Raw genomic sequence first — 27,116 nt, forward strand, 5'->3', positions numbered from 1 at the left:
CCTGGGCAACAAAAGCAAAAAAAACTCCGTCTCAAAAAAAAAAAAAAAATAGAATATGGCAACAGCAGAGCATTGTACACCTGCCCCACTTCTCCCCACTCTCCATTGCTTTTTCCTAGGCAACCACCTTCAAACTTAACACTGTTAGCTTTTTCTTGTATTTATTTTCCTATTTCCAAAAAGCATTGCTAGACTCTCATTTATTGATTTTCCAGTTTAGATATTATCTGGAAGGTTGGGATTTAGCACCCTTGCATCACTTCCTGTATGTGCATTTGTCCCCTCACCTTTCATCCCAATTTTGTGTTAACATATTTGGATTAAGTCCACATTCCACGTTTTCATTATTATGGCTGTAAATCTTGATGGCTGAACTAAGTGTTGTAATAAGATGGCATTTCTGTTTTTTGTTTGTTTTTTGAGAGTCTCATTCTGTTGCCCCAGCTGGAGTACAGTGGTGCAGTCTCAGCTCACTGCAGCCTCCGCCTCCTGGGTTCAAGTGATTCTCATGCCTCAGCCTCCCAAGTAGCTGGGATTACAGGCACCTGCCGCCCCCACTCAGCTAATTTTGTATTTTTAGTAGAGACGGGGTTTCCATGTTGGCCAGGCTGGTCTCGAACTCCTGACCTCGAGTGATTTGCCACCTTGGCCTCCAAAAGTGCTGGGATTATAGGCATGAGCTACCGTGCCCCATCTAGATGGCATTTCTTTTTAAGAACAGTTTTTTTTGTGCTTTGTTTTCCTTGCTTCTCCAGGCCTTCCAGATCCTTTAATAGTTTTATAAGATGTCTCTTAATCCAGTTTTCCCAAAGGTAATCCCTACCAGATAATCCAGCAGTTCCCTTCTTTCCTGGACCCTCCTCCCAACTTCCCTCGGTCCTCTAGTTTAGACTAGATGCTTTCTAGGCCTGCCCCAAAATATTTATGGAGGGTCTTCCTGTTTCTTGGATCCCATGCTACTTTTTTTATGGGGAGGTACCTTTTTTTTTTTTTAATTTGTTTTGGTGGAGCACATCCTCAAGTAGCTTTCTGAGAAAGAGTGCATGGAGGTAAATGGTTTGCCCATCTCAAAGTGTCTTTATTCTTTGCTCACATCTGATTGATATTTTGATTTGATATCAACCTCTGAGTTGAAAGTGACTCTTCTTCAGAATGTTGAAGGCATTTTTCTGTTGTCTTCTAGCTTCCAACATTGCTCTGAAGAGGTCCCATACCATTCTGATTTGAATGTGACCTTTTACAAAATCTGGAAGCTTTTAGGACTCTCTCTCTTTCTCTCTTTTTGGTGATTTTAAATTTTACAATATATGCCTTGGCCTATTTTAATTTGAGGGAGCACTCATTGGACTGTTTTAATCTAGAAACTTGTGCCCTTCGGTTCTTGAACTGTTGTTGTATTATTTATTTGATAACTTTCTTACATTTTCTCTTTTTGGAACCCTTAATATTCACCTATTTTCTCACTTTCTTATTTTTAAATGTTTTATATTTTTCATCTTTGTTTTCCTTTCTCCTTCCTTCCTTCCTTCTTTCTTCTTTCTTTCCTTTCCTTTCCTTTCCTTTTCTTTTCTTTGTTTCCTTTCTTTCTTTCTTTTGAGACAGGGTCTTGCTTTGTTGCCCAGGCTGGAGTGCAGTGCCACAATCATGGCTCACTGCAGCTCGAGCTGCCAGGCACAAGAGATCCTCCTGCCTCAGCATCCCAAGTAGCTGGGGCTACAGGTGTGTGCCACCACACCCAGCTAATTTTTTCAATTTTTTGTAGAGATGGGGTTTTGCCATGTTGCTCAGGCTGGGCTTGAACTCCTGGACTCCTCCCTCATCCTCCCAAAGTTCTGGGATTACGGGCGTGAGCCAGCATGCCCAGCCATCTCTTTCTGTCTTCTAGGAGGTATCTGATTCATCTTTACTTTACAATCCTATTAAATTTTTGAATTTTTTCATCGTACTTTTAATTTCTTAAACTTTCTCATTCACTAAATACACATTGAGTTCACATCTGAAATACTTGGGACCAGAAGTGTTTTAGATTTTGGATTTTTTTTTTTATTTTGGAGTATTTGCATTATACTTAGCAGTTCAGAATCCCCAGTCTGAAAGTCCAAAATCTGAAGTGCTCCAAAGAGCATTTCCTCTGAGCATCATGTTAGTGCTCAAAAGTTTTGGATTTTGGAGCATTTGGATTTTGGGATTGGAGATGCTCAATCTGTGCACCTTTTGATCCTATTCTTGTTTCATGGGTACAGTATGTTCTCTTATCTCTGTGAGGTTATTACTTACATGGATTTGACTTTTTTCTTCTGTTCCCTGAAATGTTTTTCTTTCCTTTGGGTTATTTTAAAAATACATATTTGTTTCATGTTAACAGTTTTCTTGTCCAGGTGCAGTGGCTCATGCCTGTAATCCCAGCACTTAGGGAGGCCGAGGCAGGCTAGCCCGGCCAACATGGTGAAACCCTATCTCTACTAAACAAAAATACAAAAAAAATTAGCCAAGCACGGTTGCTGGTGCCTGTAATCGCAGCTACTCAGGAGGCTGAGGCAGGAGAATCGCTTGAACCCGGGAGGCAGAGGCTGCAGTGAACCGAGATTGCGCCACTGTACTCCAGCCTGGGCAAAAGAGAGAAACTGTCTCAAAAAAAAGTTTTCTTAAAATGCATTGGCTGTATTTCATATATAGCAAGGAGATGCAGAGACACTAATTGGGCAGTTTGTGGACTTGGGCAGGACTTTTCCAAGTCTCTGCTGAAAGACTGGTTCAGATGGGGCTATTTTGGGAAGATCCTCTAATGTCAGTCACTGAGGTCATTTTTCTGAGTGAACCAGTTTCCCCAGAGAACAATCCTCTCGACTTTTCCTGGGAGAGTGTATGTCTGGCTGCAGCATCCAAGTGGGGAAGGGGCTTGGCATGTTTCTTACCCTTCAATGTATAGACTTTTGCTTGTCCCCTTTTCTCTGTAGGTCCTTCTGCCTTGGGCCTTCATGTATGTCTACCATTCCTGGGCCAGAGCCTCCTGGTTCACCCTCCCCAGGGAGTGATCCCCGGCCCTCTGCTGGGTGGCAGGTGGCCATCACTTGGCTACTCAGGGTTGGGGAGGGGATCTAGGGTCTGATCGGTTCTTACAGACTTTCAGCCCTACTGTCTTCAGCCCTCCTGGCACTAAGGCCCTGAGGGGTCCCTGGAAACTCCATTCCTGAGCCTTTCCGGGCTTCTCCTTCTGGGTGGTTCCTCCCTGCAGGCAATTGGCTCTCAGCTTTTATCACTCTACCAAGTCAGCTACTACCTGGCCATCTGCTTCCCAGCTTCCAGAATCTTGTTGACATCCTTCATTACCCATCATCACCCCTTATGGATTTATGCCTTGTTTATTTCCTCCACTGTCATCATAGTGGAGTTTTGGAAGGGAGCAGCAATAAATCTGTCTGCTCAACGTGCCATGTTTTTCTAGAAGTCCACTCACTATGGGGCTTAAGCAGGGATGTGACTAGGTCCATTAGCGATGTAAGAGCAAGGATGCTGGCCTCCAGTGGAAGAGGGAGTACTGGGGTGGGGGGATTGGAAGCAGAGAAGAGTTTTGTTTGGTGGTTAGACTGGCCATGCATGGTGGCTCATGCCTGTAATCCCAGCACCTTGGGAGACTGAGGCAGGCGGATCCCTTGAGGTCAGGAGTTCGAGACCAGCCTGGCCAACATGGTGAAACCCCGTCTCTACTAAAAATACAAAAATCACCTGGGTGTGGTGGTGCATGCCTATAATCCCAGCTACTCGGGAGGCTGAGGCAGGAGAATTGCTTGAACCTGGGAGGCAGAGGTTGCAGTGAGCCAAGATCATGCCACTGCAGTTCAGCTTGGACGACAGAGCAAGACTGTCTTGGGGAAAAAAAAGAACCTAGACTGTGGCCCAGGCTTCTACCTGTGTTGGCAGACAAGTTATATTAGCTCTTAAGCCTCAAAAAATGGACATGATGATGGGCCTGCCTTGTGCATGTGATATGAGGAATAAGTGAGAAAACGCATGCAGTGCTTAGCACAGTGCCTGCCACACAGTAAGCATTTCACGCACACTCATTACTATTCCTTCCACTGTTACCAAGTGATAGATAGGATGGACTTGAACCAGGGAAGTGGCCTGAAGGTGGGGAGGAGGGTGTGTCTCCTTCCCCAGAGAGAGGCAGAGAATGAGAGAATGGCTTCAGAAAATCAGAATAGTAGCTGCCCCCACAGCACCCCCAGGGCTTGTTCCCAGCTGCCCCGACCCAGGGTGCCGCCCAACAGCCTGGTTCTAGGACAGACAGACAGACAAGTCTGTCCTCATTCAGCTGCTGGAATGCTTGAGGGACTTGGCTCGGGGCCTGGGGTGAGGGTGAGAGGACAGGGTGAGAGTCAGAGCCAGCCGGGGCCTCCCAGAGCCTTGGCACCAGGGAGAGCCAGACAGAAGCAGAGCAATACGTGCCTCCCCAGGGGAGCGGGCCCCTCCCCAATGGAGGGGCGTTTGGGAGGAAGAATAACCCCTTCTTCCCAAGGTCCTTTTGCACTTTCACCTTTGCATCCTGGGAGTCAGGTAGCAGGGCCCTCCCAAGGCCCAGGAGGTGGAAGGAAGAGGGTGTGCGGAGGTGGGGAGGGTGGCAGCAGCCTGTCTTCCAGCCTGCAGCCTTTGGTCTCCTTGATGGGGGTGGGACAGGAGAGACAGGATGGGCCCCACCCAAGCAGGTTGGGGGACAGAATGAGTGAGATTCACCGAAAGTGCCAAACAGTCAGGCAGTGTTTCTAGGACTTGGGGGCGTCGCAGAGGCACTCACAGACCACCCTCTCATCCTAGCTGGTCCTGAAGCCCTTTGGCTTCCTGCATATAGATGCTTATCCAGCCAGGTAGACCCACAGGGCTGAATCCAAACTCGTTCTTGCTGTGTCCACAGACTCCATGTCCATCAGGCCCTGTGTGTGGGGACCGTGGTAAAGGAGACAGACCTCCAGGTGCCTGTCCTCCAGGCCCTCACACCATGGGGAGATGGACAGATGACAGTTGGGGATGATTGGCACTGAGGCATGCAGTCCTCGTGGGTCTGTAGGAATGGGGAGAGGGGCACCAAGCCCTCCTGGGTTCAGGAACAGTGACTCGGAGAAGGAGCCTGCCTTCTAAAGGCCAGCTTCCACGCCGAGGAAGAAGGGTGCTGCTGTAAGTGGAGGGCAGGCTGGGCAGAGGCCAGGGCCATGCGAGTATAGGGTGGGGCAGAAGAACCCTCAGGAGGTGGTGGGGGGGCACTGGAGGGTAGCTTCTGGAGCTTGTCCAAGAGGGTTGACCTGAAGAACTCTAAGAACCTTTCCGGACTGACAGGTGCTTTAAGGGACCCTGGGGAGAGGTCACAGCATTTCACCAGTGTCAACTTGGACCTGGGTGGGGAGGAGGGGAGGCCCTGGTCCCTGCTTTCCTCAAAGCCAGCATTTCTACAGGGAGAGAGGCAGGCTGGGTCACATGTGGGGTCCTTCACTTCACCCCGTGGACCCCCCATTCAGTGACTTCATGACCAGATCCCAGGGGTGGCCAGGGGAGCGGGCCCCCAGGTCTCTCCTGTCAGTGGCAGGCAGCTCTTTGCAGTCTCAAAGTGAGAGTGAGGCTTCTGACCGGAGTCACCTACTGTCTCCTTTGACCTCTTGTGGGACTGCCCAGCCCCGCTATAATTAGCTTAAGGAGGGGCGTGGAGGGGAAGGGCTGACGGGTTTGGGGATCCGGGTGTGTCGGCAGCGCAGAGGACCTGGCAGTGAGCCTGCCAGAGGAAGGAAGGGCTGGCTGCCGGCCGCCTGTGTGATTTTTCCCAAGAAGACACTGCTATTTATACCCCTGTAGCTTGGGATCAGCCTCTTGTAGATGAGGACGTGAAGGCCCAAGGCCACACAGCATCTATAGCCAGGCAAAGAGTAGAACTTGGGTTTCTGACTCCCAAGACAGCACCTCGGCCTGATTCTCACAGTGGATTCTGTGAGGGTCGCCTCATGCTCCCGACTTCTCCCACACACCCAGGGTGGGCTGAGAGGTTGTTGTGGCTTCAGCTGCCCAACAGCAGGCCCGCAGGAGCCACATGTGCAGCGAGTCAGCACTGGGGCAGCCAGGAAGCAGAAGGGCTGGGCTGCAGCCCAGGGACTGTTGGTGCCGGGATGAGGTGCATTGGACCCCTCAGCCCCTGGGTCAGAGGACCCCCTGGCTGGGATGGGTGAGCCCCCAGTCTACCTCCTCGAGCCACGGAATGCTAGCGGGAAGGAGGGAGCCCAGGGCCAGCTGACCCCACCACCCGCTGCTGACACTCTGCCCCGGGTGCAGGCCCAGGAAGGCTCAAGGAGCCCCAAGCCCCAGGAGCACTTGGGGACACTCCTTTCTCCCCGCCAGGCCTCACTGCCATGGTTTTGAACTTGTATCTGGGGTGAAGTATTTGAGGCCAGGCTCGCGGTTGAATGGGAGGAGCCTGGCACTGCAGGCAGCCCAGTGAGTAGACACAGCCTGGTGCAGGCAGCCTGGGCATGGCTCCAGATCCTGGCCATCACATCTCTCTTGCGCGACCCAGGGCAAGTGACATATGGGCCCTGAGTGCATGAGGGGAGATGATGGTAGAGTCTGCCCAGGATGTTGTGAGGAGCAAATGAGAGGGTATGCACCCGGGACCAGCCTGGCACGTGGTCATCTTGGGCACTAGGACTGCATCCAGCAGCTGCTCATCTGCCAACGCCCATGTTAGAGGATCTGTTTCCAGCCAGCATGGGCAGTCTGAGTGATTCCAGGAGGATTCCAGGGTTCTCAGTAGAAGTCTGGTCACCTTGGCTTTCTTCTCCGCAGCTCTGGGCAGGGCCAGGGGCCTGTCACTGGTCGGGGGACTTAGGAGACCACGCAAACACCCACTCCACCCTGGGTCTCCAAGCTGCCAGGCCCCCTCTGAAATCTGGGCTTCGGGATTCCATGGTCTGATCCACCCTCCCAGCCCCTCTCCACACCTGCCTTCAGTAGTCTTGGCCCTGTTTCCTGAACCTTTTGTGTTCTCCCAGCCTCTCTACATCTCAGAGTGTCTCTTTCTCTCCCTGCTGGACTCCAGAATCCATCACCTTTGCCCTTCTTCCCTGTGCAACCCCCCCACCCCCATCCCAATCAGGACTGTATGCTCATCCTGGCCCTCTGGCCTGGCGCCACCTGCCCTAAGGCCACCCAGACTGGAGAACTGGAGGGTTGGTGCCTCCCCATCTCCCCTGCCTGGCTAGAGGCCCCAGGTCCCACGGGTCCTGCCTCCCTCCATTGCTTCTGCCCAAGTCGTGGCTGCCTGGGTCATCCCCAGCCCTGCAAGTCTGCGTGGCTCAATTCTCCCCAGCCACTGCTGCCCCCAGAGGGCCCCAAACCTTCCTCCAGTTCCTCCAGGACAGCAATGAGCCGTGGGTGGGGTGGTCAGCATGCCAGGGCACTCCTACTAAGCTGTAGTGGTACCCACCTAAGGTCCAGCAGGGGCAGCAGGCTGGTCACTGGTCCCAGAAGCAACAGCATGCCCGAGGGCTGTAAAGAGTGAGGCAGGGGCAGAAGCATGTGCCAGCCGGGCCTGGGCCGCCCTCCCCAGGGCCCCCGCCTCCATGCTCACTGCCTCGTGGTGTTGGGGCTGGGCAGCCTTGTCTTCGCCACACCGCAGCAGCAGGAGTATGTGGTGGATACAGATGGCACCTGCTCATGTCTGCCAGTTTCCCCGCCATCGCTGCCAGGGAATGCCAGCTGGAAGAAGGCAGGAGTAGATAGGGTATGACAGAGGCCGGAGGCCAGCCCTGTTGGGGAGTGGGGGAAACAGGACAGGCATGCCTGCCCTGGGCTCTCTCCCAGGGGAGGGGCTGCTTTCCAGACCTCGCCTTTCCACAGATGACCTGAGGTCTTCTGCCTGGGTGGGGCCGTCGGAGGCTCTGTTGTGTCAACTGTGATGTGATGTTCTCCAGATCCTTGTCGGGCCTGGCTTCCAGGATCTGGGCTCAGACACGGAGGTTGCAGGGTCGGAGAGCAGGGCCACATGACGGCTTGGCGGTCCTTCCGAGGGAAGGGCCCTGACAACGTGTGCAGAGGCCTGGGGTTGGGGTTGGGGTTGTTTAGCCAGCTGGAGTGCCCAGGAGGTGAGATGACAGAGGCCGGGAGGGCCTGTGCTGCTGGCTGCGGGTGGAGGATCGGCTGAGCCGAGCAGGGAGGCTGGAGTTTCCTACAGTTGCAGGGCTCTGTGCCCCCTCCCGCCTCTCCTCCTCTCCCGGCCCCACCAAGCCTTCTCCGATGGGTCTCACAGGCTGCGCCCCCTGCATCCTCCCATCCCATCTCTAGCCATGGATGGGGCCTGTGCCTGGACGACCCTCCTGCCAAGGACATCATCGACTTCCCCTTGGTGCTGCCTGGCATCCCCTATGCTGTGAGCCACCAGTGCCGCCTCCAGTACGGGGCCTACTCTGCCTTCTGCGAGGACATGGATGTGAGTGGGGCCGGTGTGGGTGTGGGGGTGTGGGGACCTGGCAGGAGGGCTCAGGGGGCAGCTCTCACCAGCCCGTGGATGCCAGCCTGGGAGCAACCTCTCCTGGCCTGGGCTGCGCCCCCGAGTGACACTGTGAGACGTCAAGTGGCCTGTGGGAGAGGCCAGGGATAGGTGGCCACAGACCCAGCTCTGAATTCTGGGTCAACCATGGACCGACTGTGACCCTTCGGACAAGTCCCTTCGCCTCTCTGGAGCTGGCTCATAAGAGGGAAAAGGAACCCCTGTGGAGAGGGTCTATTTATCCTGGCGAAGATCGCCTGAAGTGATCTTCTAACAGGAGTGTTTCCAGAGGAGGCGCTGGGCCGGGAGAGGTGTGGACAGCTGGGGACCGCTCTGAGCAGCGCAGCCCCGGGCGCCCCACACCACCACATGGTCCGGGGAGGAAGGTGGGAGCAGGCACACAAGAAGGAACCTCTGGGGGTCTGTGGGCCCCTGCCATGTGGAGGGGTGCCCAGGGGACCCTTGGGGACAGGGAGGGGGGCAGGGTGGGTGGCAGCACTGGGTAGGGTGTGAGGGTATGGCCCATGCCCTCCTTCTCGCGGAATGTCTGCCACACACTCTGGTGCTCTGTGGGGACCACCTGTCACTCCAAGCTGGATGCAGCCATGGACGGCACCCGGTTGGGGGTGTCCCCAGTCCCGGCGGTGGGTGTGTGAGAGACTAGACCTCCTGCTGTGGCCGGGCCCTGGGGTCAGCCTCGGCTCACAGTCTTGCCTGTGCTTGTAGCAGAGCCCCAAGCTCTCTGCAGCCCAAGCCCCCGTCTGCAAAGTGGAGGCATTGGGGCCAGGGTTTGATTCCATGATTCCCCAGGGTGTCTTCAGCTGAGTCAGCATGTGGGCTGTTTTACTCCCCGCTCAGCTCCTCCATGTGGCCTGGGTCACAAATGATTGTGATGATTGTGAGGAGGCCTCTCTCACCTTCCATCCTTCCCCTCTGTGCCTTTCGCAGCCTTCCCACCCACCTTGTTCTCACTAGGGTGAGGATGACTGATAGGCTTGGGGGTGGGGTGGCTCTACCTCCGTCTGTCTCGGTAGTGGTGTCTCAATGGGGAGTGCGTACCCGTGGGCTTCCGGCCCGAGGCCGTGGATGGTGGCTGGTCCAGCTGGAGCGCCTGGTCCATCTGCTCATGGAGCTGTGGCATGGGCGTACAGAGCGCCGAGCGGCAGTGCACGCAGCCTACGTGAGTGTGGGGCCCAGGGTGCCCTTGGGCAGTGGGACAGAGGGACCCAAACAGTCAGCCGATTGCAGGAGCTTGGCTCTGTCCCAGCCCCTGGCTCTTAGAAGTGTCCTCATAATGGTCAGTCCGAGTGTCCAGGCCACCTTGAGTCACTTTCAAGGAGTGTTCTGGGGGCTGACAGGGTCCCCACTGCTGACCCCTTTGCAGAGACTGCTGACCCCTTTGCAGAGAGGGGACACTGAGGCCCAGAGACTGGAGAGACTCATCAGAGGCCACATGGCAAAGCAGTTGCTGGCTGGAAGGAGGCAGGAGAGGGCAGTGGGGAAGAGCATGGGCCCTGGACCTTAGATGGCTCAGGATTTGAATCCCCTCTTCACCCCTTCTCTGGGCCTTCGTTTCCCCATCTGTATAATAGCAGTGCCCATCCAGTAAAGTTGTAGTCAGGGGCAAATGCGGTTTACGCAGGCCAGGTCCTCAGCCCTGCAGCTCATCTGTAGTGGGCACTCAGCGGGAGGGGCTTCTTGGCCTCAGGGACACAGCGAGAGTCTGAGATGAGACTGGGGGCAGCTGGGAGGATGGGACAGCACTGAAGGGGTGGCCTGAGGTGAGTGACTTCACTTCTCTGGGCCTCTGTTTCCCCATCTAAACGGGGGTGCGCAGGGGGTGTGAAGATCTGGTGAGACGTACAGGCCAGTGGTACTGTAGACCGAGGCACTACCCGGCTGATCTTCACTTCAGGAGGCCACCCGGGGCAGGCATGGGGTTCACAGCCAGCCCCACCCAGGGCCCTGCGCTTACCCAAGACTGGCCTGTGCCCCTCCCTGCCTCCTGGCCTCCAGGTCTGAGCTGGGTGGGGGCCAGCGACCCTGGCCTAGATGCAGAGGATTTTAGGAGCTGTGCTAGGTCAGACCTTTCAGCTGGCTGGGGCGCTGGGCGCTTCCTTTAGACCCGGGCTGGGGGTACTGCCACCAGGAGGAAGGCTGAGGACTCAAGGGCTCGTTAGGATGCTGGTATCATGGGCTGAAGACTCAGAGCAGTCCCTCCAGCCAGTGCCAGTCATGCCTGCAGCTTGTCCCAGCTTCTCAACAGCCCTCTGCAGAAGCAGCCCCAAACCCCACTTTATACATGAGGAAACTGAGGCCCAGAGGGTGGCCGAAGACTTGCCCACGGTCACACAGCAGGTTGGGGGCAGAGCTCAGGCTTCCTGCTGCCACCTCCCCGCAGGTCCTTACAAACAGGGAGGGTGTGTCTGGGCCAGAGGGTGGGCAACCCAAGGGAGGGGAGCAGCGTGCACAAAGCTGGGTGGCAGGGATCTCACGGTGTGGATGCAGGAGGAAGCTGCTTGCTCTGGGCTGTGGCCATGCAGTAGCACTCACTGGGCCCTCACTGGGGCCCACCCCGGTTCTCCCCACAGGCCCAAATACAAAGGCAGATACTGTGTGGGTGAGCGGAAGCGCTTCCGCCTCTGCAACCTGCAGGCCTGCTCCGCTGGCCGCCCCTCCTTCCGCCACGTCCAGTGCAGCCACTTTGACGCTATGCTCTACAAGGGCCAGCTGCACACATGGGTGCCCGTGGTCAATGACGGTGAGTGCTGCCTCCCATGGAGACACTGAGGCTCAGAGGGCTGGTGGGGGTGTGTGGGTCCAAGGTTACCCTGTGATGCGAGCAGGAAGGCCCAGTCTCCACCCCAAGCCTGGGCCGCTCCCACTGTCCCCTGGGGCTGCTGCTCGCCCCTAGCTCCCCAGTCTGCAGCCTTGCAGATAGCTATCAGCCCAGCCGGAGCCTCCAGCATGTTGGTGCTACTTGGGAGCCTCCAGCCTGCCATGGATGTGTGTCACTCCTGGCACTGGGGACCCTCCCAGTCAGGCCTCGCCCCCCTGCGTCTCCTTGGATGCCTCCACCAGTACCGCCCCAGCCAGGAAACCAGAGCCCAGGCAGTGGCTTGACCTCTTGCTGGCTGGCTGACCCCAGGCAGTGGTTTGCTCCCTGATAGAAGGGATTAAATGAGGTGGCACAGATGACACAGAGGGCTCTGAGCCGCGAAGAGTAGCCCTCAGTGTGTGGTAACAATTTCTATTCTTATTTTTAATAACAATGACGGCCTCTCCTCTTTGCCCATGTCCCCAGCGACCTACTTGTCCCTGCTTCTTGCCCTCTAAGCCTCTGGGGTATCAAGGCCTGGGCTCCGAGGAGGACCAGGAGGGAGGTGCCAATCCCCAGTGCCTTTGACGTTGAAATTCCCTGCACGCGCTGCTCAGGAGCCCGTGGCGTGTCAGATCCCCTGCCTGCCCGCAGCCTCTGCAGAACTCTTCCCTTCTCTTGTCTCATGTGATGCTCATGACATGCCTTTAAGGGAGGGGTGGGTCTCCTCGTCTCACATCTGAGGAAACTGAGGCTTAGGGAAGTAGAGAGGTTCACCTGGGTCAGAGGCACAGCTGAGGTGGGGCAGGGCCAGAGAGAGGCCTCCCGACCCCAACTCCCAGCTTTCTCCTCCTGACCCTGGCTGGCCCCCGGGGCTGGGGCCACAGAGGGCTGGCCGCCAGCACCAGGGCCCTCCCCTCCTCGTGTGTTGCAGAACGTGGGCTGTGACTTCGAGATTGACTCCGGTGCTATGGAGGACCGCTGTGGTGTGTGCCACGGCAACGGCTCCACCTGCCACACCGTGAGCGGGACCTTCGAGGAGGCCGAGGGCCTGGGTATGGGGTGGGACCGCTGTGGGGAGGGGTGTGCTCTTCATCTGGTGGCCCCTTCCCCATCTCCCCTGGGCCCATGTCCTTGGCCCATGTCCTTGGCCTCGTGGTCCCCACCCAGCCTAGAGACGGCTAAGCAGGGAAGCCTTGCTGGGGTGGATTCTTGCAGGAGTCAGGGGACCCCTGGCCCACGTGCAGAGACCTGCCCCCATGGGGAGTCCTCCTGTCCCAGAGACCCAGCTTGTGTGTGGCCCCTGGGCCTTTCCAGTCATGGTAGTCTCCTCCTGAAGCTTCTGAGACCCCAGCTCTGTGCCCTCACCTCCGGTCTATTTTGCACACGTTGATCAAGTACTGACTGTGTGCTAGGTGATGGGGATATGCAGGTGAAGCACTTAGTCCTGCAGGGGGACAGAACCTTCTGGTGTGACCATTACAGTGGAGGGAGGCCCAGAGGGCTGTGGGAGCACTGAGGAAGAAGGTCCTGGCCTGGGGAAGTCAGGGAAGGTTTCCTGTAGGAGGCGGAAGTCGAGCTGAATCATAAAACTCAGAAGAGATGGAAAGGGCATTCCAAATGGAGGAAAGAGCTTGTGCCAGAGCCTGGAGGCAAGAAGGGAAGGCAGGGCCAGCTATGGGGCCTTGAGTGCCAGGCTGAGAAGCTTAGATTTCATCCCAGAGATGCAGTGCAGTGTGGTGGATAAAGCACTGGCCGTGGAGGCTGCTCATACCGCAGCAGGATGTTCATGTACGTTACTATCCCCTTCTGCCTCACTTTGCTCATCTGTAAAATGGGGATAACAATAGTACCTATGCTATAGGGCCATTACCCATGAGCTTACACATGTGAGGTGCTGAGAGTAGTGCCTGGCACGTGATGGGTGTGATGGAAGTGAATGAATAAAAGCAGGCCGCATGGGGATGAGGAGGGTGTCCCAGGAGAAAGGCCTGGGCACTTTGGCCTTTTTAGAAAGAAGATGCCAGCCGGCCCTTAGAGTAGGGGATGGATCCAGCCTTGTGATGAGACCAGTTTAGGTCCCCAAGAGAGGGGTGATGGGGCATGGCCACGGGGTCAGGATTTTGTGGCACCTCTGCGAGGTTTTGGTGACCCATGACAGATCCGAGCAATTTAGGGAGCTCAGACTTTAAAGCTAATGGCGAAATCTTTGGCATCAGCAGGCGGAGGCAAGTGGGGAGAGACATGAGGGGAGCAGGTAGGGATAAGCAACCTTCTCACCCTGGGCACAACCTATGCACAACCCTTGGCTGACAGGGTATGTGGACGTGGGGCTGATCCCAGCCGGCGCACGCGAGATCCGCCTCCAGGAGGTTGCCGAAGCTGCCAACTTCCTGGCACTGCGGAGCGAGGACCCGGAGAAGTACTTCCTCAATGATGGCTGGACCATCCAGTGGAACGGGGGCTACCAGGTGGCAGGGACCACCTTCACATACGCACGCAGGGGCAACTGGGAGAACCTCACGTCCCCGGGTCCCACCAAGGAGCCTGTCTGGATCCAGGTGCCTGCCTCCCGTGGCCCAGGCTGGGGGAGCAGAGGCGGAGTCCCTAGGCCCAGCACCCTCCATGGCAGGTCTCGTCCTGGAGGAGTGAGCCCTGGTTCAGTCACAGAGCTTGGCTCTGAGCCCAGCCCTCCTGCTGCGGCCTCTACCTCGGTTTCCCCATCTTTAAAATGGCCCAGTCGTGTAGCTGCAGTTCACAGAGGTGGCTGGCATCGGCTCCTTTAGGACTGGGTGGATGGAGAAGACACCTCATGCTAGTGGGCCCCCGCCTGCCAACCCAGCTGCTGTTCTAGGAAAGCAACCCCGGGGTACACTACGAGCACACCATCCACAGGGAGGCAGGTGGCCACAGCGAGGTCCCGCTGCCCAAGTTCTCCTGGCACTGTGGGCCCTGGACCAAGTGCACAGTCACCTGCGGCAGAGGTGAGAAGTGGGGCAGGCACAGCCCCACCAGCACGGGCTTTGTCTCTAGACAGGGACACTGGCTTCAGCTCCCAGCTCACTGCTGGGCTACCATGGGTTTGGAAGTTTGCTTCTCTGAGCCTCAGTTCCCCATCTGTGAGATGAGGCTAGCGATTGCCCTGTGTCCCAGGCCCGCTGGGAGGGTACATGGATGAGGCAGGTGGGTGCTGGCTTGCGGTGCGTGCTCAGTGTGCTCCAGCTCTTGGTGTTCTCCTTCCAGGGGACACAGCTCCCCCTCGATTTTGTCCTTGCTCAGTTCTGGCAGGTCTTGTACCTGCATTTCTGCAGCGTCCCGGAGACCAGCCCAGGCCCCTCACCACACTGACTTATTTCCCTGAACTGTTTATAAAAAGTAGGGCAATTTCATTAACTCCGACTCTTCCTTCCCGTATTTCCCGTCTCCCCCCATGCTCCTCAGTCTCCCCTCTCTCTGTCTCTTTGTCTCCTCTCCACTGTTCCTCAGTCTCTCCTCTGCCCCTCCGTCTACCCCCATGCCTCTCAGTCTCCCCCCCGCCCCCCAGTACCCCCCCGCCCCTTGGTCTTCCTCCCCCAACTCAGTCTCCCCTGCCGTTCCTTGGTCTCCCCACATCTCAGTCTCCCCCTTTGTCTCTTAGTCTTCCCCTTTTCCCCTCAGTCTTCCCATGGTTGACACTCAGTGTCCTCAGGGTCTCAGAATCGGGAATCTGAGATACATTTCAGCATTCCTTCAAATGCTATTATGATGACAAAGTGAAACTGGAGAACTGGGCAGTTACCTTCCAAAGCTAGGAAACCCATTTTATCTAATACAGCTGTCTTTATTTATTTATTTGATTTTATTTGAGATGGAGTCTTGCTCTGTTGCCCAGGCTGCAGTGCAATGGCGTGATCTCAGCTCACTGCAGCCTCCGCCTCCCAGGTTCCAGCAGTTCTCCTGCCTCAGCCTCCCGAGTAGCTGGGATTTACAGGCACACGCCACCATGCCTGGCTTATTTTTTATTATTAGTAGAGACAGGGTTTCACCATGTTGGCCGGGCTGGTCTCGAACTCCTGATGTCAGGTGATTCGCCAGCCTTGGCCTCCCATAGTGTTGGGATTACAGGCGTGAGCCACTGCGCCTGGCCTAATACGGGTGTCTTTAAATGGACAAACTTGAAAACCAACAAATAGACTTGCAGCACTAGACATTTGGGGAATTGTCTTTCAGCAAATTGGCTGCTTCGCAGGTGGACCACTTGGGAGCCTCTGCAGAGGCAAGTGCCCTGTGGTGGCTGGAACAGACAGGGGTTCTTTGTCTCAGGCAGGAAGTTCCAGGTGCACAGTCCAAGCTGGCGGGACCTGGAACTGACTGGACCTCAGCCACATCGTCCTTGCCACAGCAGCCTCCCCTTCACTCCTGCTTGCCACAGATGGTGTCCTCCCTTCCAGGGCTCTTGCAGTGTTCTGGGCAGGAAGAAGGAGAGGGGAAAGGGCTGAATCCCAGCAAGGGACTTGTGCCTTTTTCTCCCAAGCCAGGACTGTCCCAGACCCCCCTAGTTGCAAGGGAGCGTCAGTGGGGTGTGTTTTCAGCAGGTCCCATTGCTGCCTTGAGCAAAATTGGAATCTGTTGGTGAGGAAAGAGGGGAATGAGTGTGGGACTGGCAGCTCGGGGGAGGGACAACTTACTCTCGGGACCACGGGGCAGGGGGTGGAGCAGAGAAGGCAGAGCCACCAGCAGAGGGGGTCCTGCAGCTGGGCTTCAACAGGCAGTATGGAAGTGAGTGTCCAAGGTGAGGAGCGTGGCTGTGCAAAGTCCCCAGGGTGGGCGGTGGCAGAGGGTGTGAAGGACAGGAGCAGTGCCAAGGCTGGTGTGGGGGTGGGGAGCAGGGGCTGTCCCTTCATGCCCCATTTCTTGTCCAGACGTTCTCTGAGCCATTGGGAAGGGTGTGGATGGTGGGACGGCCTTGACGCCACGGCTGGGTTTGCATGCTAGCAGCAGCTGGCATGGATCGAGCTCTTAGGATGTGCCGGGCAAGGGCCGAGCCTACACATGCAAGAACACATGCAGTCCTCCCTCCAGGGCTTGGAGGAGGCAGGATTGTTGCTCCCACTTCACAGAGGAGGACACTGAGGTTCAGAGAGGCCAAATGAGCTGCCCATGGTTTCAGCTAGGAAGCAGAGGGTCTGGGCACCCAACCCACTAAAACTCCACACTCTGCCACCCCTCCAGGCACAGCCAGAGGGGAGGCTACATAGGAGAAAAGGGGGTGTATGAGAACCAGGAGGACAGCGAGGAGGTGACGGTGGAGGTCTGCCTTCATCCTGACACAGGCAGTAAGGTGCTGTTCTGGCAGAGAGAGTGTCTTTGGGTCTTGGGCGGTGGGCACCTGGGTGCCAGTCCCAGGCTGAGCCCCATGGCCCCTAGGTGTGCAGAGGCAGAGTGTGTACTGCTCAGAGCGGCAGGCAGGACCTGTGGACGAGGAGCACTGTCATCCCCTGGGCCGGCCTGATGACCGCCAGAGGAAGTGCAGCGAGCAGCCCTGCCCTGCCAGGTGAGCCCACCCCCATCGCCTGCCAACTCCCCACCCCCAGGTGTCCTGGGTCTGCCACAGGCCCCTACATCTGGGTCCCTGGAGACCCCGGGGGGGAGCAGAGGGAGCTGGGCTTTCATTCTCTTCCCAAGGCTGAAGCCCTAACCCCAGGTCACCCCTCACCCCAGGTCACCCCTCACCCCAGCCTAGGCCAGCCTGGGCCAGCCTGGACACCTGTGGTCCTCTTCTTTGGATCCCTGGATGTGGAAATAGGCCTCAGGTCATGCTCAGTTTCCCTGAGGGGAGGGTGGCAGGAGCAGAGGGGCTGTGCTATGTCACCAGGCTTTGAGGTCAAGAAACTTACCTGGGCTTGGATCTCTGGAGAATCAACCACTGGCCTCAGTCCCAGCTCTACCCAAACCCTGAAGGCCTGGAAGCCCATTCCCTGCTGGTGAGCCTGCTGAAGAGCCTGCTGATGCCACCCGTCTGATGCCATGCTGATGCCACCCATGTGCCCCCGCCAGGTGGTGGGCAGGTGAGTGGCAGCCGTGCTCCAGCTCCTGCGGGGCCTGGGGGCCTCTCCTGCCGGGCCATGCTCTGCATCCGCAGCATGGGGCTGGATGAGCAGAGTGCCTTGGGGCCACCCGCCTGTGAACACTTCCCTGGCCCCCTACTGAAACCCCTTGCAACTGCCATGTGCCCTGTCTGGCTACCTGGGCTGTGGGGAACTGGTTTCAGTTGAGCGTGGGATGGGAGAGGGCCCACCTCCAGCTCCACCCTTGGTCTTCGGCTATCGGGAGGCAGACAGCCTTCCTGGAGCCCTCGTGGGTGGGAGGGAGTCTGGGCATTCCAGGGTCCAGCCCCTGACTAAAGCCTCAGGGATCAGGAAGCCCCTGGCAAGCATGGCCATAGTCATGGCCTTGAGCTGGGCAGGGCCAGAGAGGGCTGGCTGGGGTCTCTGCCACTCCTAAGCCCCCTCACCCTGGCTTCCCCTGCAGTGCTCAGTGACATGTGGGGAGGGCACTCAGCGCCGAAATGTCCTCTGCACCAATGACATCGGTGTCCCCTGTGACGAGGCCCAGCAGCCAGCTAGCAAAGTCACCTGCTCTCTGCCACTCTGTTAATGGCCCCTGGGCACACTGGGCCCTGAAGGCTCAGGCAGCGGCTCCTCCAGCCACGAGCTCTTCAATGAGGCTGACTTCATCCCGCGCCACCTGGCCCCACGCCCTTCACCTGCCTCATCACCCAAGCCAGGCACCATGGGCAACGCCATTGAGGAGGAGGCTCCAGAGCTGGACCTGCCGGGGCCCATGTTGGTGGACGACTTCTACTATGACTACAATTGCATCAACTTCCACGAGGATCTGTCCTATGGGCCCTCTGAGGAACCCGATCTAGACCTGGTGGGGACAGGGGACCGGACACCCCCACCACACAGCCATCCTGCACCCTCCACGGGTAGCCCCGTGCCTGCCACAGAGCCTCCTGCAGCCAAGGAGGAGGGGGCACCGGGACCTTGGTCCCTTAGCCCTTGGCCCAGCCAGGCCGGCTGCTTCCCATCCCCGCCCTCAGAGCAGACCCCTGGGAACCCTTTGATCAATTTCCTGCCTGAGGAAGATGCCCCCATAGGGGCCCCAGATCTTGGGCTCTCCAGCCTGCCCTGGCCCAGGGTTTCTACCGATGGCCTGCAGACACTTGCTGCCCCTGATAGCCAAAATGATTTCCCAGTTAGCAAGGACAGCCAGAGCCAGCTGCCCCCTCCATGGCGGGGCAGGACCAATGAGGTTTTCAAGGATGATGAACCCGAGGGCCGTGGAGCACCCCACCTGCCCCCGAGACCCAGCCCCACGCTGCCCCCTTTGTCCTGTCGGCAGCACCCACTCCTCTCCTAGTCCCGACGCGGCGGAGCTGTGGACAGGAGGGATAGTGGCCTGGGAGCCAGCTCTGGAGGGTGGTCTGGGGCCTGTGGACAGTGAACTGTGGCCCACTGTTGGGGTGGCTTCTCTCCTTCCTCCTCCCATAGCCCCTCTGCCAGAGATGAAGGTCAGGGACAGTTCCCTGGAGCCGGGGACTCCCTCCTTCCCAACCCCAGGACCAGGCTCATGGGACCTGCAGACTGTGGCAGTGTGGGGGACCTTCCTCCCCACAACCCTGACTGGCCTCGGGCACATGCCTGAGCCTGCCCTGAACCCAGGACCCAAGGGTCAGCCTGAGTCCCTCAGCCCTGAGGTGCCCCTGAGCTCTAGGCTGCTGTCCACACCAGCTTGGGACAGCCCCGCCAACAGCCACAGAGCCCCTGAGACCCAGCCACTGCCTCCCAGCCTGGCTGAAGCGGGGCCCCCCGCGGACCCGTTGGTTGTCAGGAACGCCAGCTGGCAAGCGGGAAACTGGAGCGAGGCAAGTGGTGTGGGCTGGGCGGGCAGGGAGTTTGCGGGGGACCTTGGTGACTGTTTCTTCACTGAAAATGAGCAGAGTGGGACACGGGCCGTCTGTCTCGCCTCCCTCGGGGAAGGGGTTCCCAGGATTTAGGGGGGTGAGGGGACCCCGGGGCCCATTCCTGGGCAGCACAGCGGGCCTCAGGGAAGGCAGGGGCAGGCACACTCTGGCAGCACAGCACGCCCCAGGATGGAGCTGGCTCAGACAGCTGTGCAGTGGGGAGGGTCCCCGCGTGGCCGCCGGCCCCGCAGCTTCCCTGAGGTTCTGCCTGGCTCCTCCAGGCTGGGCTCAGCCCACTGCCACCTGGCTCCGCCCTCCTCTAGCAGTGACCTGCAGGGGTCTGAGCTGCAAGAAAGAAGCTGGCTAGTGCCCCTCCCTGGGTCCCCAGATGGTCACTGCAGGAGAAGAAGCTTCTGTTCAGATCCCTAATTTGGAGGTGGGATGGGGTAGGCTGAAGCTTTACTCAGCGATTTGGCTGCTGGCACCAGGACCCAGCCTTCCTTCCCTGGTGCCTCTGGGAAGCCATGAGGATGGTCAGGATAGCTGGTCAGGGGTGCCCACAGGGTCCCCTCCCCCCACCTCTGCACCAATGACGCTGGAACACAGGCCCTTTGTCCCATGTGAGCAGGGATGGTTGGTTGCTGGGGGGATTTGACTTCTCATCCTCACAGTCTTCCTGGGAGGTGGGTGGAGGAGCCTATTTTGCAAATAAGGAAACTGAGGCCCAGAAGAGGGCCCCTGTCCTGCTGAGGTCTCCTGTCTTGCTGAGGTCTCGCTAGCCTAGGTGGGTAGTTTCCTGGCTGTGGAGGCCTGGTGGGGATGGGATCTGCCTGGCTTTCACGGGTCTGTTCCCCGCAGTGCTCTACCACCTGCGGCCTGGGTGTGGTCTGGAGGCCGGTGCGCTGTAGCTCTGGCCGGGATGAGGACTGTACCCCCGCTGGCCGGCCCCAGCCTGCCCGCCACTGCCACCTGCAGCCCTGTGCCACCTGGCACTCAGGCAACTGGAGTAAGGTGCGTGAGGATGGAGCCAGGACAGGCATTCCCAGGGCATGGGGTGGAGCCCTGGTTCCCCACGGCCTGTGTTCCGAGAGCGGCAGGGAAGGGGAGGGCTCCAGGCTGCACGTCTGTGTGCCCGATCTCACTGGATTCTGAATCTCTTGGGAGTCTTCTCATCTTTGTCTGGCTTGGCCTGTCTCCTTTTCTCTGTATCTTTGACCCCATCTGGACTTGTCTTTCACTAGCTTGCCTTTGTTCTTCCCTTTCTCTGTCTGTCCCAGCCCATGGCAGTCTCTGGCCATGCCACCTTTTGCCTGGGGCCTGCCAGCCTTGGCCTCTCGCTGGGGTTCTTCAGATATTTCCCCGGGCTGGGGCGTGGGTCTGATGCCTTTCCCGCCACATGCCTCACAGGGTCACACCCGTGGGCCTGCACGTGGGTGTCTTGGTCCCCAGTGCTCGCGCAGCTGCGGTGGAGGTTCCTCAGTGCAGGACGTGCAGTGTGTGGATACACGGGACCTCTGGACACTGCAGCCCTTCCATTGTCAGCCCGGGCCTGCCAAACCGCCTGCACACCGGCCCTGCGGGGCCCAGCCCTGCCTCAGCTGTTACACATCTTCCTGGAGGGAGGTGAGGCCTGGGGGTTCAGATCGGGGGAGGGGATGCCCTCAGACCCTGGCTGTGCCCTGACTCCTTCCCTGCCCACCCAGTGCTCCGAGGCCTGTGGCGGTGGTGAGCAGCAGCATCTGGTGACTTGCCCGGAGCCAGGCCTCTGCGAGGAGGCGCTGAGACCCAACACCACCTGGCCCTGCAACACCCACCCCTGCACGCAGTGGGTGGTGGGGCCCTGGGGCCAGGTGAGCCGGGCTGTGGCGGGGAGCAGGGAGCAAGTGCTTGGTAGCACCTGGTCAGTCCTGGGTTGGGTGAAGGAGCTGTGGAGTGTGTGCTGTGAGCCAGGCTCTCTGTGGCCCCTGCACATGCAGCAGTGACTGGACAGCCCTGCCATGCTGGCGCTCACACCTGCCAGGGAAAAACGGACAAGGAAAGGGCACATGTGTTATGATGTCAGGGAAGGCCTTCTGAGGAGGGGCCTGGGGTTGAGACCCGAGGGGAGGAGTCAGTGATGCCAAGGACACGGAATCGAGGGGACAGCAGGTGTGAAGTCTGAGGCAGGAATGTCGAGCTTGGGGCGATCAGGGAGCCCAGCAAAGGCCAGCGGCAGAAGGGGGCGTTAAGAGGGGCCTCGGATGGGCAGGATACCTTCTGCTGGGCCTGTTTGGAACTGAGGGGTTCAGAAATCTCAGGTTTGGGCCCTGAGCTGGGTCCTGGAGTCAGCTGGGCCAGCGTTTGAGTCTTTGTCCCACTGGCTGCTGAGTGACTGGGCAGGTTGCTTTGCTTTGCTGGGTCACTGTTTTCTCATCTGTAAAATTGGAACAGCTTAGGAGAGGAGGGTCAGAAGGATTAAATGAAGGAACGTAATGAAGCACAGGGCTGGGCACAGCACGACACTGGCAGAGACTCAGCGCATGTTCAGGGCTGATAACAACGAAGCCTGGCGGGCTGGGCCCCGGCTGTGAAACTGTCTCCTGCCCTCCTGCCCATGGGCTGCGGCAGGTCCTCTGCCCTGTCCCTCGGGCACAGTGGTGTCTCGCCCACATCTCTGCCCACTGCTGCATCAGGGCTCCATCCCGGGGCCCCTGCCCAGGCTTCTCAGGCATGTCCTGTGTGAGGGGCTCACTGCCCTGCAGCCCCGAGGGCTGTCCCACGGTTCTCATGCCCCTTCCCTCTGCAGGAGCCAATCCCACAAGTGAGAGTGGGGTTCCGGCACCAAGTGGGCTCTAGGAATGGGACCAGGTCCTCCAGGAAGCACTGAGAGGGCGGCTGGGAGCAAGGCCAGGCCAGTCAGGCACAGGGCACAGGGACGGCTTCCCAGAGGAGGTGTCCCTGCCCCCACTGCTAGGGCTGGCCCTGGAGACAGTCATTCCTCCCCTGCTCCCCCCAGTGCTCAGCCCCCTGTGGCAGTGGCGTCCAGCGGCGCCTAGTCAAGTGTGTCAACACCCAGACAGGGCTGCCCGAGGAAGACAGTGACCAGTGTGGCCATGAGGCCTGGCCTGAGAGCTCCCGGCCGTGTGGCACCGAGGATTGTGAGCCCATCGAGTCTCCCCGTGAGTCCCCTGACCCCAGGCTCCCTGCTGAAGTGAGGTAGGGTGGGGAGGGTGATGGGGAAATGGTGTCGTCAAACCATTGTGCCCACGGCACTGGCTGGTTCCATCTGTAGTCTGGGCTCAGGAGCCACATGGCCACTGAAAATCCTGATGCCACAGGATGCCTTGCCGGAGGCTGGGCTGTGCTGGGAGTCAGTCAAGGGGTGTCCCAGCCACACAACATCCTGCAGGCAGCTGTCTGGCCTCAGGGGAGAAGAGGGAGTGGCCCTGGCCCCTGAGTTGCTGTGTGAACCTGGGTAAGCTCTTTCTCCTCTAGGTCTCAGTCTTCCCACAGTGAAGCCAGGGATGGCCCTGAGGCTGTGTGAAAACAGCCTGGGTGAGACCCTGTCCTTAACCCTGATCTTAACCCTGACCTATCTATTCCCTGGCTAGAGGACTGCCTAGAGTGAGCAATAGAACCACATGAAGGGCCTCCCTCCCCTGCCCCCAACATGCGCGCGCACACACACACACACACACACACACACACACACACTTCCTCCAGCTGCAGCTGCTCCCAGCAGTGCTGAGGGCAGGAAACGGGGTGGCCCTGGAGTGTCACCTGGGATCCCCTCACCAGCTGTGTGGCCTTGGGCTCCCATTTCCCTCTCAGGGCCTTCATGTGCTGAATAAAGGGGCTGCCAAGCCCCATCCTTGCATAAATGAGGTCTGGGCATGAAGGGCACAGCACTGCGTGGGCATCCAGGTGGTGCTCAGGGAAGGCAGCTTTCTCCCCTCCCCCACAGCCACTGTCATCCCCAATTGCAAGGTCAGGGAGAGGGCCTGGGGCTGACCCTGCCAGTCCAAGGAATCCAGAAACTGTGGCATGAACAGCTGCGTCCCCTGTGCTATTGGCTGGCTGCTCCCTGACCCTAGAAAAGAGTCCTCAGCCAGGGCACTCACGCTGACATTCGGGGCCTCCTGCGATCTCCCCGGTCTGCCTTCTCCGCTTGTCCAACGCAGCCTTCTTTACCTGCACCGGCTCCTGGGCAGCCCTCATTCGGGCTCAGAGTGGCCCCTGCCATGCCTCGCTGCCCTGCCTCTGGCAGGGGTGGCCTTCCTGCCTCAAACCCCATTACCTCAAGGTCCAGTGGCAGTGCCCCCACCCTGTCCTGCCTGCCCTCAGCACGCACCCAGCCAGCATCTCAGAGCACTCCTATGTGCTGCCTGAGCTGGGTGCTGGCACCACGTCTCTCACCTTTATGGCTAGGGCTGGCCACAGGGAGCGGGGTGGTTATGATCCCAGTGGGGGAGGACCAGATGGGGCAGAGAACAGAAACTGAGGCCCCTGGGGGCCTAGAACCAAGGACGGATGGCCCAGGAGGCTCTGGGCTTGCAAGGTCTCCCAGGGGCGGGTGTGAGTGGGCTGCAGGGAGTGGGCTATGGGGGCTGGTTAGGTGGCTGAACTAGAAGCTGTCCTAAGTGAGTTTTCTGCCATCAGTGAACAGTGGAGGGGGGCTGGGAAGGTGTCCTGGACTTTGAGATCTGGAATTCCCAGATGTTCTGCTGGTCTGTGGGACAGTTGGTGGGACATGTGGAAAGCTGGGAAACGCGTGTGTGTGTGCTCACTGCAGTGACACAGCATGGCCATATCCGTTTGCTGTGGAGGTGGGGTTGACAGAGGAGAGAACCGAGGCCCAAGAGGTGAAGCAGCTTGTCTGAGGTCACCCCGGGCGACCAGGATGCAGGCCTGCAGATGTGCACTTTGGAGCTCTGCCTGGAGCTGGGGTGGAGGAGCCTGCCTGCTGCCTCGTGCCCTCTGCCGGGCCTGGGGGATGTCCCAGGCCCAGGGCTGGCTGCTGTCCTCCTGCTCCTCTTGCTGGAGTAAGCAGGGCCTGGGGTTTGTTAGCAGCAGCGGCAGCAGCAGGAGCAAGGCTAGGAGGCTGGAAACAAGCCACATCCCAAAATAGCTCTGATAACCATGGGGCAGGAGGGCCCAGCCAAGCCTCAGCCCTGACAAGCACAGCCTGCAGCTGGCCTCCCTCCCCACTGGGCCTGGGCTCAGTCCCTGGTTTCCACTGATGGCCTGTAAGGCCCACTCACTCTAGGCTTTGTGGCCCACCTGAGAAGTGGGAGGCTGGCCTGGGAGATGGGACCCTGTGACTCAGAACCCGAGGCTGTGTACAGCCCCCGTGGCTGGAGGTGGTCACAGAGGCCTGGCAGGATAGGTGCACTGGAGCAGGGGGAGGTGGCGGGAGTGGACGGCAGAGGTTGCTGCAGGCTGGCAGGAGGCCCCTGGGACCTCAGTTCTGTGCCAGGATCTGTCGGGGAATACCAGGGGTGAGCAAGTATGGAGATGGGGTGGCAGGGTGTCACCCTGGGCAGGCTCTTTTATGGGCATGTGAGGGGGTCAGGGTGGGGTCTCAAGACCTTTCCTCCAGAAACTTCAGCCCAGCAGCGCCCGTTCTTGAATCCTGGGGTTGGCCATGAGCAGGTGGGACAGAAATAGCAACAGCTGGAGACGTGTGACCTTGAAACCGGGGCACTCTGCTTGGTGGGGAGCTGCTGGAGCCTCCTTAAGGTGGTTGGGGTGGGGAGCCAGGTTCTGATGCCCCCCCCGCCCCCCCACCCCCCCCAATCCCCCGCCCCCCCACTCCCCCCACTCCCCCCCACTCCCCCCCCACTCCACTCCCCCCCACTCCCCCCCCACTCCCCCCCACTCCCCCCACTCCCCCCACTCCCCCCACTCCAGGCTATAAGCGGGACCACCTGTCCTTCAGGTTCTGCGAGACGCTGCACCTAGTGGGCTGCTGCCAGCTGCCCACTGTCCGCACCCACTGCTGCCGCTCGTGCTCTCCGCCCAGCCACGGCGCCCGCTCCCGAGGCCATCAGCGGGTTGCCTGCCACTGACCGTGCCAGGATGCACAGACCGACCAACAGACCTCAGTGCCCACCATGGGCTGTGGCGGAGCTCCTGCCCCCTACGCCCTACGCCCTACGCCCTAATGGTGCTAACCCCCTCTCACTATCCAGCGGCAGGCTGGGGACCTCCTCCCCCCTCAAAAAAAGTATTTTTTTATTCTAACAGTTTGTGTAACATTTATTATGATTTTACATAAATGAGCATCTACCATTCCAAAGCACAGCATGACTTCATCTTGGATTTGGAGAATCTTAAAAGTGAGAAACTCTTCCCCCCACTCCTCTGCCCAAAACTCCACCGCCACAGCACCTCGGCAGGCGCGGCTTTTCACCTGCTCCTCTGGGGCAGATCTGCAGGGTACAGAGCAGCAAACAAGTCCGTGAGAGCATGGCGTCTGGTGAGGCACGGGCCTTGGAAGCTGGGGGGCTGCTGCCCAGGGAGGGCTATCTGCGGAGGGTCGGGTTCTGGGGGCAGGAAGGTCTTCCGGGCAGGGGCACAGCTTGGCCCTTACTTGCTGCCTGCCTCTAGCTCGGCTCCCAGCTTTCCCTGGGGCCCCACTCTGTGGTCCTCAGAGACCTGTTCCACAGGGATTGGGCCCACCTTGTCACTTGCAGGACTGCCCCTTGGAGTGATGGGGACTGGGGCCCCCAGGGGCACCTCCCTGGGCCTGTTGTATCTGTTGACTCTTCTGCAAAAAGTAGACAGAGAAGAGAGCAGGCTGGCCCGCTGTGCTCTACTGTGTCTGTCCCAGGACTCGGAAGGTAGGGAGGGAGCGTGGCCAGGGCGGCTGCCTGCAGGTGCGTGTCCTGCTGCTCCCCAACTCAACATGCTCACCTCATTTCACACCAACAAGCCCCATCCTCAGAGGAGGAGCCCAAGGCTCTGAGAGGAAGTAACTGGCCCAAGGGCACATGCCCTGGTGACACAGGCCCATCCTAGGCCCTGACTGCCCACCTCCAAGTTCCAGGCCACCCTGAGCAGGCCCCAGTGGCAGCTTTGCACAGAGAGGGCAGCCTGCCAGAGTTCACACAGGAAAGCAAGTTGCTGGGCAAGCTAGAGTGAGTCCCAGCCCCGCTGTGCTGCCCGAGGGTAGAGGAGCGTCAGGCGTGCTTCCTGTCTGTCTGCAGCAGCCCGGCTGGCCCAAAGAGACTCTAGGGACCCAAGCTCTGAGTCATGGCTTCCCAGGCCTTAGTCAGAACGGCCCCTGGTGGCACTCCCTTCCAAGGGGTGGGGAGCAGGGCCTGTCGACTTGCTCCTGACCCACACACGGAGCCAGTCCCTGTCCCAGCTCTGCCCCAGCTCTGCCGCCGCCGCTCTGCTGCGTGACTCCAGGAACCCCCAGCCTCGCTGAATCCATGTCCGCAGAAGAGAAAAGCCTGCCAGGCCTTGGCCTGCCCTGTCTGGGAATCCTTGCTGGAGCCACCCCGAAACACCCCTATGGGAACCCCTTTGGTCTTTATCATTCTTGGGTGTTTTCCACTGATGACTGCGGGTGTGCCCAGTGGCAGCTGGGCCTGAGCTGTCAGCCCAGGCAGGAGACAAACAAGCCTGTGACTCAGGCAGGGCATGGCACAGCTGGCGGAAGGAGGCATGCCTGTTCTTTGTGGCTGGGCGGGGGGTTATCCGGACACAGGGAGTCTCCAGCTTCCGGCTTTCCCACCTCGGTGCCCCCAGCCCACACCTGCAGCTTGGCCATGGTTCTTGGGGCCTCCCAAGGCTGCCCCTGCTGGCAAAGGCATCCTGATGCACCCGCCCCAGGGTGAGCC

At 58.8% G+C, this 27,116-nt stretch overlaps 1 long non-coding RNA gene and 1 pseudogene across 1 annotated transcript, besides 1 other annotated feature; one reads left to right on the plus strand and one right to left on the minus strand.

Annotated features, from left to right (window-relative positions):
• On the plus strand, nucleotides 8,286-25,518 carry ADAMTS7P3 (ADAMTS7 pseudogene 3; annotated as a pseudogene).
• Nucleotides 23,071-23,160: a silencer, noted in NCBI's record as "silent region_6700". NCBI's record gives its function as "represses an Ori minimal core promoter by ATAC-STARR-seq in GM12878 lymphoblastoid cells {active_cell/tissue: GM12878}" and the evidence as "EXISTENCE:reporter gene assay evidence [ECO:0000049][PMID:35858748]".
• On the minus strand, nucleotides 25,510-26,502 carry LOC91450 (uncharacterized). The gene has a single exon (NR_026998.1). It is a non-coding gene; the product is annotated as an uncharacterized LOC91450 (long non-coding RNA).
• Nucleotides 26,503-27,116: the final 614 nt, after the last annotated feature.

The sequence above is a fragment of the Homo sapiens genome, chromosome 15, assembly GCF_000001405.40.
Source record: "Homo sapiens chromosome 15, GRCh38.p14 Primary Assembly".
Classification (NCBI taxonomy): domain Eukaryota; kingdom Metazoa; phylum Chordata; class Mammalia; order Primates; family Hominidae; genus Homo; species Homo sapiens.